Here is an 18219-nt window from a genome sequence, read left to right on the forward strand (position 1 = left end):
GTTAAAATTACACATATATATGTAATTTTAACTAGCTCTGCAGGTGGTAAAATACACAACATCAGTCTTCTTCACAATATTAAATATAATTTTCCTGAGTGTGGGAATGAGATTATGGGTATAGCCTTCTCCAATGCTGATGAAAACATTTGTTTGTGGGAAGAACATATATAAGAGAGGATGTGGTTGAGAGACAAACTTTTAATCATGTCTAGAGTTCTCCAGGTGAACCAAAAAGAACATTAATCTTGAATGTTGGTGTAGTCATAAGTCCTGGTTTGTCAAGCCCTAAGTCTTGTGACGAGCATTTGTTGTCACTAATGACTTCTTTCTTTTCATCTTTGCCCTTTGTAAAGGACGTGAAGAATCTCACCCTGTTTTTTTGTTTTTGTTTTTTTTAACAAGTATTGCCCATTATTTTTCTTATTGTTTTGAGGCTTGAGGTAGTTCCAACTCCACTTCTCAGATGCAGCTAAGATTTTGTGCTCACTCTTATGTTACTGGCACTGAATAAGAAGATATACTGAACATTTCTTAATTGTGAGTGAATATCTAGACAGCTTCAGGAATGTGCAAACAGATTTTACATGGCATCATAAAGGTTATCAATGTTTACTTATAACAAGATATGTATTTTTGGTTAAAGCAATTATAATTTACAATTAAAACAAAATAATAGGCAAATAGATAAAATTTATAAAAACGGAAACTGTCTGCATTGGAAAATAACAATATATTCGAAGAGGTAATTGATATCCCACCTGACAGTCAATTGACACTCTCATTCTTCTGAGAGAATGCTTTCTGTCTCCCCAGGATTATCTTGCTCATGAACATTACTGTTAGGACCAACTAGGTCAAATCCGTTCTTTCTCTTATAAAAGCACCTTCTTGGCAAAAAAAAAAAACCAAACAAACAAAAAACCCACACAACAACAACAAAAATCCACCTCTCTCTGTGCAGATAAACTTCTTTTCTGCTTCCTTAAAGTGTCAGCATAATACCCTTTCTTTCCTAGTAGACCTTTTTTTCTACTTGTCTAGCTCTTGCATTTCACAAAGTAGCCTCATGTTCCTAAGGCTAGGGTATCATTTTTGCCTATAAAGTGCACAAAATTAATATAACTTAAAAGAAACTAGATCTTTACAAAAATGGATATGTACTTACTGAATAGAAAATAATTTGAGCTGATCCTCAAAGGAAGAAAATACCGCTGGGGCATTTAAATTAATTAAGAAAATTTTGAAATAGAATTTAAAGTCTAAGGATTGATTTTATTGATCTTGGAAATGAAGGGTACCCTTCAGTAATCATATTTCTAAAATAAATGATTATTTTGATAGATTAGATAACAATGTCAATCAATCATAGACAGGTAAATGGCTTTCCTCTCCCCCCAATAAACTGCCCAAGTATTTGATTACACTTTATTTTAAAAATGAATTTTTCATAGTTTTCTTTTTTTGTGTTATTGATAGTAATGATCTTTTTGAAAATGGACTCAACATTAATTTTTTATTTTGCATTTATAATTTAAGACAACTTTTCTTTTTAGTTGCCTAATTTTTATATCTGAGATTTAAAGTCACATATTAACCAGAAATAGCAAAGTATGAAATAGAATGTAAAAGAAATTTCGTAATAGGTTCTCACTTTCTGGAGGGTCGGGTGATGATATTTATTTCTTTTGTAGCTTCTATCACAAAACTGAATATTTACAGCTTAAATTTCTATAATACTTCAAAAGCAGATTTCCATACAAATTCTTTAAAGTGCATTATTATTGGATCCAATTTATAGATGAGGAAACAAGATTCAGGGAGTATAGAAGATACTGTCAGTGCTCCAGCCATACTCTTTCTGCATTTATCATTTCTGTGCATGCTGGCTTGCTTTCAAACTGCCAGTAAATGTGACCTTTTGCTTTTCCAGTGCCACAATCAGAGGGCCCACAAAGTGTTTGATTTATCCTAATGGAATTCCACAAGATATTGCTTCACTAAGGGATGTACTTACAAGAATGGAGGTTCAACAGCAGACAAATGACCTCAGGGCCATTAGCTCTACCTTTACATGCATGACCCAGAAGCTGCTGGCTTGATGAAGTGCTACCTATTTCTTTTGTGTGTGTTTTATTTATATATCCCAGTTGTGCATATTTTTGGGGTACTTGTGATATTTTTACTCATGTATACAATATGTAATGTCAAATCAGGGTAATTGGGATATCCATCACCTCAAACATTCATTTTTTTAAAGGTATGTTGGGGACATTACAATTCTTTTCTTGCTGTTTTGAAATCTACAATAAATTATTGTTGACTAAAATTTCCCTAATGTAGTATCAAGTACTAGAACTTATTCCTTCTATCTAACCATTTTTGTACTGAGTAACCAGCTCCTAATTCCTCCCTCCCCCTCCTGCTTCCCTTCCCATCCTATGGTAACCAGCATTCTACTCTCTACCTCTAGGAGAACCATTTTTTTTTAGCTCCCACATATGAGTGAGAATATGTAATATCTGTCTTTCTGTGCCTGATTTATGTCACTTAACATAATGACCTAAATTCCATCCATGTGGCTCCAAAGGACAGGATTTCATACTTTTTTTATGGCCAAATAGTATTCCATTGTATATATGCCACATTTTCTTTATCCATTTATCCATTGATAGGTCCTTAGATTGGTCCCATATCTTGTCTATTGTGAATAGTGCTGGAATATACATTGGAGTAGAGATATCTCTTCCGTATATTGATTTCCTTTATGTTTTTGGATGTATACCCAGCAATGGGATTGTTGGATCATGTGTTAGTCCTATTTTTAGTTTTTTGAGGAGCCTCCATACCTTTTTCAGTAACAGCTGTACTACTTACATTCCCACCAACAGTGTATGAGTGTTGGTGGGAATATAACTGCATCTTTGTCAACATTTGTTATTCTTTGTGTTTTTGATAAAAGCCAGTTTAACTGGGGTGAAATGATATGTCATTGTGGTTTTGATCTGCATATCTTTGATGATTAGTGCTGTTGAGCATTTTTCTTTTCTTTTTTCTTTTTTGAGATGGAGTTTTGCCCTTGTTGCCTAGGCTAGAGTGCAATGGCATGATCTCGGCTCATTGCAACCTCCACCCCACAGGTTCAAGTGATTTTCCTGCCTCAGGCTCCCAAGTAGCTGGGATTACAGGCGCCCTTCACCATACCTGGCTAATTTTTTGTGTTTTTAGAAGAGATGGGGTTTCACCATGTTGGCCAGGCTGGTCTCGAACTCCAGACCTTAGGTGATCCACCCACCTTGGCCTCCCAAGTTCTGGGATTACAGGCATGAGCCACCATGCCTGGCTGAGCATTTTTCATATATCAGCCATTTGTATGTCTTGTTCTTCTTTTTTTTAAATTTTTTTTTTTTGAGATGGAGTCTCACTGTGTCACCCAGGCTGGAGTGCAGTGACACCATCTCGGCTCACTGCAACCTCAGCATCCCAGGTTCAAGCAATTCTCATGCCTCAGTCTCCCAAGTAGCTGGGACTACAGGTGCCCACCAGCATGCCCAGCTAATTTTATTTTTTATTTTTAGTAGAGACAGGGTTTCACCATTTTGGCCAGGCTGCTCTTGAACTCTCTACCTCAGGTGATCTGCCCACCTCAGCCTCCCAAAGTGCTGGGATTACAGGCATGAGCCACCACGCCCAGCCCGTATGTCTCCTTTTAGTAATGTCAATTGAGATATTTTTGCCCATGTTTTAATCAGATTATTTATTTGCTATTGAGATGTTTGAGTGCCTTATGTATTCTGGTTATTAATCCTTTGTCAGATGGATAGTTTAAAAATATTTTCTTCCATTCTGTGGATTGTCTCTTCACTTCGTTGTTTGTTTCCTTTGCTGTGCAGAAGCTGTTTAGCTTAATGCAATCCCATTTATCTATTTTCACTTTTGTTGCCTATGCTTTTGAGGTCTTACCCAAAAAATATTTGCCCAGAGCAATGTCCAGTAGCAATTTCTTAACATTTTCTTTCGATAGTTTCATAGTTTCAGGTCTTACATTTAAGTCTTTAACCCATTTTTGCATTGATTTTTATATATGGTAATAGATGGGGATGCTAAAAAGCCAGCTTCTAGCTCTAGGGGAAGGGGCCTCTGCTTTCAAAAGATGTTATATTCTTTAAATTGATTGCCATTATTATGATGCAGTGTCTCCTGATAGAAAAGGAACCAAAGAGTGGAAGTTGGCATGGCTCATCTCACTATCAGTCTAATTGACAAATTTGTGATTACTGTTCCCACAACTTTAAACCATGGATTAGAGGTCTTGGTTACTAAGAACAAAAAGTAAGGCTTCTACCAATGGACATGGTAAATGTTCCACTAAGCTTTGGCTATGGCTACCACCTGATCATTTTGTGCTTCTCACAATAGTGGCCAAGCAAGCAAAGAAAGAAGTTACCACATTGGCAGGATAATTGACCCTGGTTGTCAAGAGGAGCTAGGATTTCTGTTACAAATGAGGGCAAGAAAGAGTATGGATAGAGCTTAGAGTATTCAGTGAGATGCTTTTAGTTCTCCCATGCCTGATTGTAGCAGGGCGAGCCACAGACAAAACTCCTCAGACACCGAGTTAAAAAAGGAAGAGGCTTTCTTTGGCCAGGAGTGTCAGCAGACTTGTGTCTCAAGAACTGAGGTCTCCAAAGAAAGAATTCCTGTCCCTTTTAAGGGCTTATGACTCTAAGGGATCCACGTGAAAGGGTTGTGACAGATTGAGATCTATAGATAGCACATGTGGTTAGAGTCGGGGGTTAATCTTTTAACCTCAGGCCTGGTTGGTGGTGCCGGTTGGTCATTTCAGGAATGAAAACAACTTCATTCCTGTTGTTTTTCAGCTTTTAATTCCTCCTTCTCTTCAGAGACAGGAGACAGTAAGAGAAATGGCCTCGCTCCTCATTCCCCTCTTTGAGAATCTCACTCGCTAGTGCTAGTTCTCACTCTCATCTTCACTACACAGTCCTAATTCATGACAAACATACTTATTTTATGCTATATAGCCCTTTCCCAATCTAGAGAGCTGCATCTTATTTATTTCCATACAGGTCACTGTTGATTGCTGCACAGGCATCAAATTTTAAGATAATTTGTTTGGGGACTCCTTTTTCTTCTGTTCTAGTTATTACTTTACTCACATCAGCATTTCCCCGGTTGCCAGTCCTCAATCTTATTTCAAAAACTGTACTCATGGGGGCTCAGATGGGTTATAGCACACATCAGGCTGGTCGCTTCCTGGCCTGCATACCTTATACTGGGTGGCATTATACAAACAAGTCCCTTTTAGAGTTCTAGTATGTTCATAATAACTATAAAACAGAAAGACTGTTTTAACTTTTTGCCCTACCTCAGTAACTTGATGTATACACTGGGAATAGTCCTCAGTCTGAGGAAGGTCAGTTGAAGTCCTTACTGTACAAATCCAAAATTTAAGGAAAATAAGTCCCACGATGAGTTTCCTCATGCTTTGGCTGTGTGTGGACCAGTCAGCTTCTGGGTGTGACGAGAGTAGGGCTTGTCGTCTTCTTCAAAGTCACTTTGCAGGGGTTGTCCAGGCTTGGTCTCACCTCCCAGGTCTCAGGTGCTGCAGGTTTTATGCGGCTGTGGTGGATCCAGGCTGGGATTCCCTCTACCTTTACAGCTGTGGGAGTGGTCAAGACAACAGTCTGGGGTCCTTTCCACCACGGCCGCAAGGGGGCTACGTTCCAATCTTTGATCCACACCCGTTCACCTGGGGAGAAAGGGTGAACTGGGGAGAATAAGCTGATGGGACACCTCTCATTTACCCAGGCTGAAATTGTTTGTGTAATTTTCCCTAAAGCCTGTATCTGTCGCTGTAACTCAATTTCACCTAGCTCTTGAGAAGTGCCTGGGAGTCCTCGTGGTATGGGAGGGGGCCTATGATATAATATTTCATAAAGGGAATATCCTGTCCTTTTAGAAGGGGTACATCTAATCTTAATACCATAGGGAGAGCTTGTACCCACTTTAATCCTGTTTCTTGACACACTTTCCCTAAACTATTTTTGATAGTCCGATTCATCCACTCTTCTTTTCCAGAACTCTGTGGTCAGTAAGCGGTATTTATTTTCCATGTGAGCCCCAATACCTTTGCTGTCTTCTGTACCAAATCAGCCACAAATGCCAGCCTGTCATCTGAGCCGATTTGTAAGATCAGTCCAAACCTAGGGATGAGATCTCGGAGAAGCACACGGGTTACTTCATGAGCTTTCTCAGTTCGTAAAGGATAGGCCTTCACCTACCCAGATTATGTACACACTAGAACTGGCAAATACTTGTTAACTCCATATTTGGGCATCTCAGTGAAGTCTACTTGGAGATCTTCAAAGGGGGCTGCCCCATAAGCTTGTATGCCGGGCAAGACGGTTGGACCTTACCTAGTATTGTGCTGCCAGCAGGTGACACACTGCTGCGCCACTGTTTCGGCAAGGGCTGACAGATGCGAGATGTAGAAGTACTGGTTTAACAACTTTTCAAATGACTCTTGGCCTAGATAGGTGGTCTCATGCACAGCCAATACGACTGCGGTGCCCAGCAGTTGTGACACGGCTATTCTTCCATCTGATAACCGGATCCATCCCTCTTCTATCACCTGGCCCTCCCTCTGCCTGGAGAAAGTCCTTCTCTTCTTTAGAATAAGTAGGTACAAGGTCAGGTGCCTGAGGGAGCAGGGGTCAGTGACTGATGCCCGGTAGGGGGTGGATGCTGCTTTTGAGCCTCTGAGTCAGCTCGGGAGTTCCCCAAGGCAATCGAGGTGGAAGCTCGCTGGTGTTCTCTGCAGTGCGTGACTGCCACCTTTTGGGGGCTTCCACACTGCCTCTAACAATTGCAGGATCTCTCAATGATGTTTTATCTCTTTTCCCCCAGAGTTCAACAGGCCTTTTTCTTTATATAACACCCCATGCACTTGGAGGGTTAAGAAGGCATACCAAGAGTCAGGGTAAATGTTTACAGTCTTACCTTCATTTAGCTCTAAGGCCCAAATTAAAGCAATGAGTTCAGCCTTCTGGGCTGAAGTACCCTGGGGCAATGATTTGACTTCAGTGACAGTGTCCAGGGTTACCACTGCATATCCTGCACACGTCTCTTCTTGTGGGTTGACCAAGCTGCTCCTGTCCACGTACAGCTCCCAGTCTACTGATGTCCAAGGATGGTCTCAGAGGTTGGGCCTGCTAGAATAAACTGAGTCCAACACCTCTACACAGTTATGTTCAACTGGGCTCTCTAATACCGCGAGTAAGGTGGCAGGGTTCAAGGTGTTGCAAACATCAATGGTTATGCAGGGATTTTCACAGAGCAAGCTTTGGTACCTAGTTAGTCTAGCATTCGTTAGCCAATGATGTCCTTTGGTATTCATTAAAGTCACCACAGCATGGGGGGCCTTTATGTTCAGATTTTGCCCAAGAGTCAGCTTATCTGCTTCTTATGCTAACAGGGCAGTTTCTGCCAAGGCCCTCAAATATGGGGGCCAACCTTTAGAAACCCCATCTAGTTGTTTAGAGAGGTAGGCCACCGACCTTGACCAGGGCCCCGTGTTCTGGGTCAAAACTCCAACTGCCATCTTTTCTCTCTCTGACACATATAGTGTAAATGGCTTTGTCAGGTCAGGCAGCCCCAGGGCTGGGGCCGACATGAGTTTCTCTTTTAACTCATGAAAAGCTCATTGCTGTTGGGACCCCCATTCCAAATGTTCCTTGTCACCCCCCTTTGTGACTCCATACAGGGGCTTGGCTAGTACTGCAAAGTTTAGGATCCATAACCTGCAGAACCCCACAGCTCCTAAGAATTCTCTCACCTGCCTTTTGGTCTTAGGCTCTGATAGGTTGCAAATGACCTGCTTTCTTTCTGATCCCAAGTTGTGCTCCGCCTGTTGGATAGTAAATCCCAGGTAACATACTTGCTGTCTGCAGATCTGAGCTTTCTTCTTGGACACCTTTTACCAACATTCCTCCAGGTGGTGGAGCAGGGTATCCGTTCCCTTGGTGCACCCGACTGCTGTGGGGTGTCCCAGCAGGAGGTTGTCAATGTACTGGAGCAACATGCAACCTAGGTCTCTGGTGGGAAACTTTTGGAGGTCTCGAGCCAGTGCTTCCCTGAAGATAGTGGGGGGAGTTCTTGAACCCTTGGGAAAGCTGGGTCCAAGTGTACTGAGTAGTGACATCTGACCCCGGATCCTCCCACTGAAAGGCAAACAGTTTCTGGCTCTCAGGGGCTAGTGTGATGCTAAAGAAAGCATCCCTGAAGGATGAACCAGGTGAACCAGTCAGGTGAACCAGCTATCCTCAGCTGTAGCTTGGTTGAACAAGCGCAAATCCTGTACTGGCCTGTAGTCCTTGGCTTGGGAACAGGCAGGAGGGGAGTGTTCCATGGAGACTGACAAGGGACTATAATTCCAAAGGACCTCAGCTGCTTGAGATGGACCTGGATACCTTCAAGAGTTTCTCTGGGGACCAGGCACTGTTTTTGTCTGTCTGGCTGGGCCCCAGGCTTAACTTCTATGAGTGCGGGGGCCTGGTAGATTGCCAACCCTGGAGGATTGTCTTCTGCCCACACCTTTGGCCACCGCTTAGTCAGAGCTGATCCTATCTCTTGGCCTGGCCCAGTTAAGAAGAGTCCCCATTCCTCCTCCTGAGGAACCATAAGGGCCATGATGACTCCCGTTCCAAGTAGCTTTAGCTGTAAAGAGCTGTGCTTTGTAAAAGAGATGGTGGCTGTCAGCTTGCTAAGTAGGTCCCTTCCTAGCAAAGGCAAGGGGCAGTCAGGCATGTACAGGAACTGGTGAATCACTTCATGTCCCCCCACAGTGCAGGTCCAGGGCAAACAGAAAGCTTGCTTTGCTGAAACCCCTGTGGCTCTGATTATATCTATTGTCTTTTTGGATAAGGGGGTGACTGGGGTGGTTACTACTGAATGTTCAGCACCAGTATTGACAAGAAACTCAATGTCCTTGCCCCCAACTGTCATCCTGACCATGGGCTCTTGGGGACACATGAGCCTGGTCTCCCTCAGTCCAGTAACCCTTCTGCCAGATTGAACAAGGCCCCTTCGTCCTTCTCTGAGGCCTCCTGCTCAGAGTTGCCTTGTTTCCCTTTCAACTGGGGGCACTTGTCCTTCCAATGTCCTATTTCCTTACAGTAAGCACACTGCTTACACTGCAAGCGTGGACAGCCAGACTGGGTATGTTTCCTGGGGCCCCCCTTCTCTCACCCCTCAGGGGGACCGCTCTCATAGCTGCAGCTAGCAGGTCGGCATTTCACCAGGCTTGGCATTCACTCTCTCTGCAATTCTCTCTGTGGCTTACTGCATCTCTATTCACAAACACCTTGTTGGCTATCTCCAATAACTGTGAAGTATTCATGCCTGCAAACCCAGCCTGTTTCTGCAATTTTCTTCTAATGTCTTCTGCACTTTGACTAACTAAAGCCATGTTAATCATGTGCTGATTTTCAGGGCTATCAGGATCAAAGGTAGTATACATACGATAGGCCTCACATAGTCTCTCGTAGAATTGTGCTGGGCTCTCATCTTTCCCTTGAATGACCTCAGAGACTTTGTTAACATTTGTGGACTTCTGAGCTCCCTTCTTTAACCCTTCCAGAAGGGCTTCCCTGTACCGGTTTAGCCTTTGCATACCCTGTCTTCATTTGGGTCCCACAGGGAGTCTGTTCCTGGTAATTGTATCCTCACATACTCTTGTGGGTTTTGGTAATCAGCTGGAACATTTTCTTCCAAGTTGCTGCTTGGAGCACTCTCCTCCTTTCATCTGTGTTAAAGAGGTACATGAACAACTGGTGGCAATCAGTCCAGTTGGGGTTATGGGTCTGGATAATAGTTTGGAGCAAATCAATTATAGCTTGAGGCTTTTTGGTATAGGATGGGGTATTGTTTTTCCAAATGAGGAGATTGGCAGAGGTGACGGGTTGGTACACAAAGGCACACCTTTCTACCATGTGCCCGTCCTCATCTATCCCAGTATACCATTGCTCTCTTAAGGGCATTTGTATCCCAGTTCTAGGCCTCAAACAGGCTGCCAAGGGAAGGGTTTCTCCCAAGGTCTCAGATCCTTCCTTTTCTACTCTGGGTGGCCTAGGGGTATGTAGGCCTTGTGGAAGCTCGGGCGCAGTGGGCTCAGGAGTGGGAGGCCTTCCTCCCTGGTGAAAGGGTGGGGGGCACTGGTGCCATTTCTTGCCATGAATCCTGTGATGTTGGGTCTGACAGGACTTTAGGAGCCAATCCCCCTCGGCAGGTGGAGCGGGATTCTTCCTTGGCTGTCTGTCCCTTTGCCACTAGTACTACTGCTGCCTGTCCTATTAACTACTGTGGGGGGTCTAAAACCATCTGAAACCAAGTGTCTATGTATGGAAACTGGTCTGGGTGTCCTGGCTCACCAGTTACCTTGTGCCATACCTTTGAAACAATGGACCTTTCTAGGCTTCCTACTGATGGCCAACCCACTTCTAATGTTGGCCAGTCTATCCCACACAAAGTTCTAAGTTTACTTGGTGTCATAGTAACTCCATAGTCTCCATTAAATCCTTTCTTGAATTTTTTCAACATAGTTCCTAGCAGAGTTGGCTTACTTTGTGTTCCACCCATCTTCCTCCCAAGACAAAACAAAACTCACACCACAAGAAGGAAAGGGTAAAGGGGTCACTCACTCACCTTGCCCCTCTCAAACTCAAGCACTCACTTTCACTTTTCTTTTTGCAAACAAGTCAAGCCAAATCAAAATCAATACTGAGACCAAAGTGCCAATAAGGGCACACTGTGGATGATCAGGCCATGCTTCCACTCAAATGGAGTGGGCAAGTTCCAAAGACCGGTCCTACAGTACCAGATGTCCAGATTCCAAGCGCCAGTTCCTTCCCGGTGTTCAGCTGCTGTGTTGATCCTCTGTGGGGGCCTGCCATGCACAGCTCTGATGAGGCGTTCTACCAGGGCAAATGCCTACCTGGGAGTCAGGCTCTGTGTCGTTCAAGCTGGCCAGATGCTCCACAGGGCAGGGCTAAGCCGCCTAAGGGGCTGCCTTAACCGTCTGTTAATCACCTCAATTCCCAGTCAGGGAACCAAGAAATGGAGCATGATGAGCCACAGACAAAACCCCTCAGACACCGGGTTAAAGAAGGAAGAGGCTTTATTTGGCTGGTAGCGTCGTCAGACTTGCGTCTCAAGAACTTAGCTATCCGAAGAAAGAGTTCCTGGCCCTTTTAAGGGCTTACAACACTAAAGGGTCCACGTGAAAGGGTTGTGATAGATTGAGATCTATAGATAGCACATGAGGTTAGAGTTGGGGTGGGGTTAATCTTTTAACCTCATGCCTGGTCAGTGGCGTTGGTGGGTCTTGCCGCTGACTTCATTCCTGTTGTTTTTCAGCTTTTAATTCCTCCTTCTCTTCAGTGACAGGAGACAGTAAGAGAAATGGCCTTTCTCCTCATGACGATAACTGAATGGGCACTGCAGCAGCCACATCTGACAAGAGTACAGTAACTAGGCGCTCAGACCCTTCAAGGATGAGAGTCTGAGTCACCCTACCAGGATAGCAACCTAGAGAAGCTGAATCACTAGTTGAGGATTCTTTTGCAAAAAAGCTAGCACGGGGATGATAAAAGGAGACAGTGCATACCAGTTATGGCTTCAGGATCAACTGAAACTGTAAGTGCTGTAGTTTATTCCACCAATATTCCTAATATAATTTTACAAAAGAAATTGTGAATCAGTGATGGGATTGAATGACCTTCATACAAGTTATGAGTAAATCTGAGTTGCGCAAGGGGAGGAAGTAGCAAGACATGCAAGTGCCCTACCTGTGGAATCGGTGTATTTACTATTTTCCTGTATCTTGACACCTCTTCCGACTGATAGGACTTGTGACTCTGAGTGCTCACTCTGATCAACAGATCCTTCTCTGTCTGTTCTAAAGGCAGGCTAGAATTAATCTCCACCCTCCACCATGCACACACACACAAACACACACACAGACACACACACACACACATGCTCTCAACCAACACTTGATAGGGGTTGCTATGTAAATACATAGCTTCCTCATCTTGGAGTGGAATAACTTGGTGACGTATCTTCTATACCATATCCCAAGTTCTCTAGCAAAATCAATCTCCAGTTGCCCATGGTGATAATTCATAATACATTTATTATTAACTTTTTTCCTTTTTCTGTTCCATTTTTCTATTGAAATACTGGTGTTCTTGGAATCACCTTCCAAGTCAACTACTTATACTGAAATATTTGAATTAGAATTTGTTTCTGGGGAACCCACACTAAGACAGCAAGTGACTTGTTAAATGCCAGTGGCAGTGAAGATATTTAATTCCAGGTTTTCTAAGTCTTATACCAGTTTTCTTTTTACTATTGCATTCTGGAAGTGTTCTGTATATACTAGACTTAAGATTGATATTAACTCTAGACATTTATGTACACATCAGAAAGGTAGAAATAGAGTCAGAAAATATTCCTTCCAGCTCTTTTTTATGCATATGTGGATTTGAACTTTTTCAAAAGAAAGTATAAGTATTTACCATATTCATATATGCTTTCTCACTCTTTTGCTCCCTTCAAAGGAGGGAGGATTCCATCCTTCATGGATAGGTCAGTTCATAGGCCTTCTTTTTTTGTTTGTTTACAGTTTGGGTGATGTGCTGATTCTTGTGAGGGCAATATATTACACTACACCTCTTTCTTCTGCACAGTGAGGTGTCTCAAGAATAGAGAATTTGGGCTTCCAAGTGGGGCATGGTGTGGATGGAGTGATGGCATAAGCATGCAGGAAGGAAAATAGAAAACCACTGTGTAGCAAAGGTTGGTGCACTGATGAACTAAAGAAGGAGTGCCTTTAGCCACTGACATGACAGAGAGAACATATGGCAAGTGAGAAGAGCCATGTGGGTTGAGTTTTTGTAAGTATCTCCATCTGTTTGGAGAATATGAGTGGCAGTGATAGCTAAAAAGGATTTTAAAGATATTTTACTATGTCTTGTGGGGTTTCTAAAGAGATGAGTGAAGATTTGAAGTAAATTGTATTTAATTTTGTTTTACTGTTTCTTTGATTGTACTGCCATGCCTGGCTGGATCACAGCAGACCCCTATAATTTTCAGGTTAGAAGTCATTACATATGCTAGAGCCATTATAAGTTGAAATACAGTTACTGCTAAATTTAGCTTGTAGATCTTCTTTTACCTGCATTAGAGGCTTGTATTTCTGATGAGGCAGCATGACGGCTCCTGGGATAAGAAGTAAAAGAAGAACAAAGAATGAGGACAGCAACACAGATTTAATTTAGAGATGAAATCCAGAGAAAAGAGCCAGAACTCCTAAAACAATTTTTAGTGCTTCAATCTTTCAATCGAAGGCAAATGACTCAGGTAGGTCAGGCGTTGGAGGAGTCAAGGGAAAGCAACAGAATAGTATGTGCTCAGGCTATTGTGATCCTTGTGGAGAAGGAAAGACTCTTTCTGGGAGAGCCACAGTGGGCGAAGTTTACCTGAGATGACCTCTCAGTGGTATTCCTGAGCTCAGACCAAGCCCACTGTCCATGTCTAGGCCAAATGCAAATGTGGACTTTGAAAAAGAGGGACCATACTAAGAAGCTGAGTTAGTGTGGAAAAGAGAAACAGAAGAAGAAGGAAAAGTAAAGCAAACTAATCCTGTTGGTTTAGATATTTTGTGTTTTTTAAGGATTAACTTAGGGAGGAGCTTAAAAGTAGCCATGAAAGAACTTGTTTAGTCTCTAAAAGAATAGGAGGGCTGCTGGTGATGCCTTCAAGGGGAGAATCACAGTGAAGATTTGTCACAGGAGGCTGAAAAGAGTTGTTCAGCCAGGGAACACAGATTAGAAACTCAGCTGGATTGAACACAAGATACAGGTTTGAGATAATTAAATTCCTTGTTAATAATAAATTTGCTGTAAGCTTCATATTGGGCAAAAAGAAATAGACTCAACTTTGAAGAATACATAATATGAAAAAGGAGGCCAAGACTCTTGAGATTATTTTAGTAATTCTTCTGAATATGCCAAAACTAAAGAATATCAGGAAAAAAGCAAAGGTCAGAAAAGGAGTGGCTAACAGATATTGTGACTTTGATAGTGGTAAAAATAAAGACGCTATAGCAGAAGTGGAAATATAAGATAGGAGAAAAACTTAATTGGGAAACAAAGTGAGACAGAATGACAGTAGGACAAGAAGGATTTCAAAGGAGATCTTGAGAGAATAACTAAGGCAAATATGTTTAACAAAACTGCAGCAGAAAATACTATGGAGTAGGACAGCATCGAATTCTGATTGGCAGGAGATACTTGAAGAGATATCTGAGGAAACTAGAGTCCTCTTGGAAGCTGGAGGGCAAGATAAAAAGTTATTGGTTAGTAAAATCTGGGAAGAGAAAGATGGTAAAGGGAGAAAGCAAAGTAAGATTTTAGTCCTCTTAAAATATTGGAGAAGAGCCACAGCAGAAACACTTTGGAGAGTCTCCCCTAGAGAGCAGGGAAAGCCAACTGCTGAAGTCCATAATCTACATACATGAACAGAAGATACCCAGAGGGTGGCATTATTTCCAGCATATCAGTGTGTGGTCTGTACTATATTAGCCTCCAGGAAGGTTGTGTAGGGCTTATGGGATTTAAGCAAAATAAACAAAAATTTACAAGCCTGCTCAGCAAGTGAGGTGACAATAGGAGAATCAGAAGATTAACATAAGGGGAAAGATATATTTGCTAGATCCTACACCAAAAAATTATGTGTTAGCAATTTGTTCCTTTAAAACATGAAGAGATTACATAGTAATGTCCCCAAATACGGTTTCTTGGGCTGTCTAAGAGTTAGGGGCATGGGGATACAAGAGGAAGAAGAGGAAGAAGTAAATGAGATATATTAAGTTCTAACTTCAAATATAAAGAGATATTTTCTATCAAAAGCATATTTTAAATTTTATTTATTGCTATATGCATATTGTAAACTTAAAAATTCTGATTATTCTTAAAAGTTGCAGATTTAAATTAGAAAGACAGAGTTATGCATTTTGAAGGCACTTTGGATTAACACATGTTCAAATAATAGACATGTTATTAACACGTGTTCAAATATCTTTATATTATACTCCTTTCTTGGAAAGCCCTAAGGATTGACTACTGGAGCCATGTATTCTTTATATTTATGGCAACATCTGAGGTAGAGATAAATGGATATTATGAGATGCATTTCATAGATAGAAATAATAGGCAGGGCCTACCTAAATTAAATTTAAGGGGATAAAAAGAAAAGAGAAGAGCCAGTGGTAAGGCTATGATTTTAGTTTAGTCTAACAGGAAAGATGGTGGTACCATTTAATGAGATGGGAAGATTTTAAAAGGAACTGAGGGGTTTATATTAAGAGGGTGATTAGAACGTGTCAAATATGAGATGCCTATTGGAGATCTAGGTAGAGACGTAAAGCAGAAACTGGATATACAGGAGTGGAGCTTGGTGCCAGGGATAAGATTTTGGAAGTCAGTTCAAAAGCAGCAATTCTATCTATGAAACTGGAAGAGATTACACACAGAGAGATTACTTACAGAAAGATGAAAGCAAACATCTCAGAACAGAGCTCCTAGGCTCCCCGATATTGTTATCAACTGAATGTACCCCCCCTCCCCACCAAATTCATATGTTCAAATCTTAACTCTGAATGTGATGGGATTAGAAGGTGGGACCATTGGGAGGTATTTAGGTCATGAAGGTGGATCTCTCATGAATGGGATTAGTGCCTTTACCAAAGGGACCCCAGAGAATCTCTTACCTTCTTTCCACCATATGAGGACATAAGGAGAAGACAGAATAGGGTCCTCACCAGAACCTGACCATGTTGATATCCTAATCTCAGACTCTAGCCTCCAGAACTTTGAGAAATAAATTTGTTGTATGTAAATCACCCTGTCTGTGGCATTCTGTTTTAGCAGTCCAAACTAGGAAAAATCTTAATAAGTCAGAGAGGAGGATAGTCTAGCAAAGGAGATGGAGGATAGAAGAAAAGGAAAATCAGGGCTATGTGACACCATGGAAGTGAAGGGAAAAATACTCCAGAAAAAGTGAGTTCTCTGTTAATGCTTCTTAGAGGCCAAAGCAGAGAAAACCAGTGAAGTAGATATGGACTTAACAAAATGATAGTTTTTGATTGTTATAGATAGAGGCATTTTGATTCAAAAGTGAAGGAAGCCTGAGTGTGAATGGAAAGTAAGGAAGTGAAGAACATGAGAACATTTATTTTTACTTTTATTGTTTCAGTTTTCCTGTGAAGGGCATGAGAGATGAAATAGTAACTGAGGGATTTGGAACCGAGGAAGGTTTATATTTTAAAGAGAGTAGATCTTAGAACCTGTCATTAGCAGATAGTAATGGCATGGTAGAGAATAAGGAATAAATAATGCAGGAGAGACAGGAATGACCGTGGAATAAAAGCCCCAGAGAAGGTGAGTGGAAACAGGATCACGAGCACAAGTGAAAAGTTGGCAGGACATACTTTCCAGTAATGCAAAAGGGAAAGCAGAGAATGAGGGTTAGGATACAGTGAAGTCCACGAATTTGGTGGTTGGCAGACAAAGGAATTCCTATCTGGACAAAGAAGGAGGAAGCTGTGTGTGACAAATCTATTTGTTCAGGACCAGAGCAAATACTATTCTTTTGATGACACTAGCTAAGGGATATATCAGTTTCTCACTGATGAAGAGGTAAACTAGAGCTGCCATTCACACCATATAATAAAACTTAGGTAGTTTTCTTTACGTACAGTTGATTCAGTCATTGCTAGCCAATCCTTATTATTGCCAGAAAATCTACCAAGGAAGAATTCCTCCAGGAGTTATTAAAAATAGATCTAAGGATTTGAAGGACCCCATCTTTCTACCAGGTCGCAGTTATGGTGCCCTTCATGGAAGGCCAAGGAATCTGGCTTGCCTCAAGAAGCTCTTGCATTTGAAATAATAATAAGCCAGGTGTAGTGGCTCACGCCTGTAATCCCAGCACTTTGGGAGGCCAAGGTGTGTGGATCACTTGAGGTCAGAAGTTCGAGACCAGCCTGATCAACATGGTGAAACCCCATCTCTACTAAAACTACAAAATTAGCCGAGTGTGGTGGCACATGCCTGTAATCCAGCTACTTGGGAGGTTGAGGAGGAGAATGACTTGAACCTGGGAGGCGAAGGTTGCAGTGAGTGGAGATCATGCCATTGCACTCCAGCCTGGGCAACAAGAGTGAAACTCCGTCTTTAATAATAATGATAATAATAATAATAATAATAATAATAATGAGGAGGAGGAAAACAGCTGGACAATTACTGAAGACCTACTGTATGCCTATGCTGTATTGAGTGCTATGCATTAATTACCTGTGCAGTCCTCATAACAGAGCTCTGAGGTAGAGATATTACCTTCTTTTCACATTTGAGGAAATGCAGGTTTAGAGAGGGAAGTGACTTGTCCACAAGTATAGTCATGTGCCTCATAACAACAGTTTGGTCAATGACCTACCACATATATAATAGTGGTACCATAAGATTATAATGTATCTGAACAATTACCTTTAGCCATTGTAACAATACAGCGCAACACTTACTAATGTGTTCATGGTGATGCTGGTAAGCAATCCTACTGCACTGCCAGTGCTATAAAAGTCTAGCACATAAAATTATGTATAGTACATACTTCTTGATAATAATGATAAGTGACTATGTTATTGGCGTATGTGTTTACTATACTGTGCTTTTTATCCTTGTTTTAGAGTGTACTCCTTCTACTTACAGATAAAGTTAAGTGTAAAACAGCCTGAGGCAGGTCCTTCAAGAGGTATTCTAGGAGAAGGCAGTATTATCATAGGAGATGGCAGCTCTATATATGTTACTACCCCTGATGATCTTGAAGTGGGACAACACATAGAGGTGAAAAACAGTGATATTGATTATCCTGACCCAGTATATGTCCAGATGAATGTGTGTGTTGCATCTTAGTTTTTAATAAAACAGTTTAAAAAGTTAAAAAACAAAAAGTAGAAAAGAGCTTATGGAATAAGAATATAAAGAAAATATTTTTGTATCTCTGTACAATGTGTTTGTATTATAAGATATAAGGTATTTATATACAATGTATGTAAGGTATTTACAAGACCCAAAAAGT

The 18219-nt window shown here is 41.6% G+C and overlaps 1 long non-coding RNA gene across 2 annotated transcripts in view; it reads left to right on the forward strand.

The window, feature by feature from the left end:
* Positions 1-18219, forward strand: part of LOC107984041 (uncharacterized) — a 367164-nt gene that overhangs the window by 338756 nt on the left and 10189 nt on the right. The window contains exon 7 of one of the 2 annotated variants that reach the window (XR_002956381.2): positions 11458-11730. The exons of the other annotated variant lie outside the window; for it this stretch is intronic. This is a non-coding gene — a long non-coding RNA (uncharacterized LOC107984041). Of the gene's footprint in view, positions 1-11457; positions 11731-18219 lie in introns of those variants that run through there. 2 annotated transcript variants of the gene reach the window in all.

Source organism: Homo sapiens, chromosome 6 (assembly GCF_000001405.40).
Source record: "Homo sapiens chromosome 6, GRCh38.p14 Primary Assembly".
Lineage (NCBI taxonomy): Eukaryota > Metazoa > Chordata > Mammalia > Primates > Hominidae > Homo > Homo sapiens.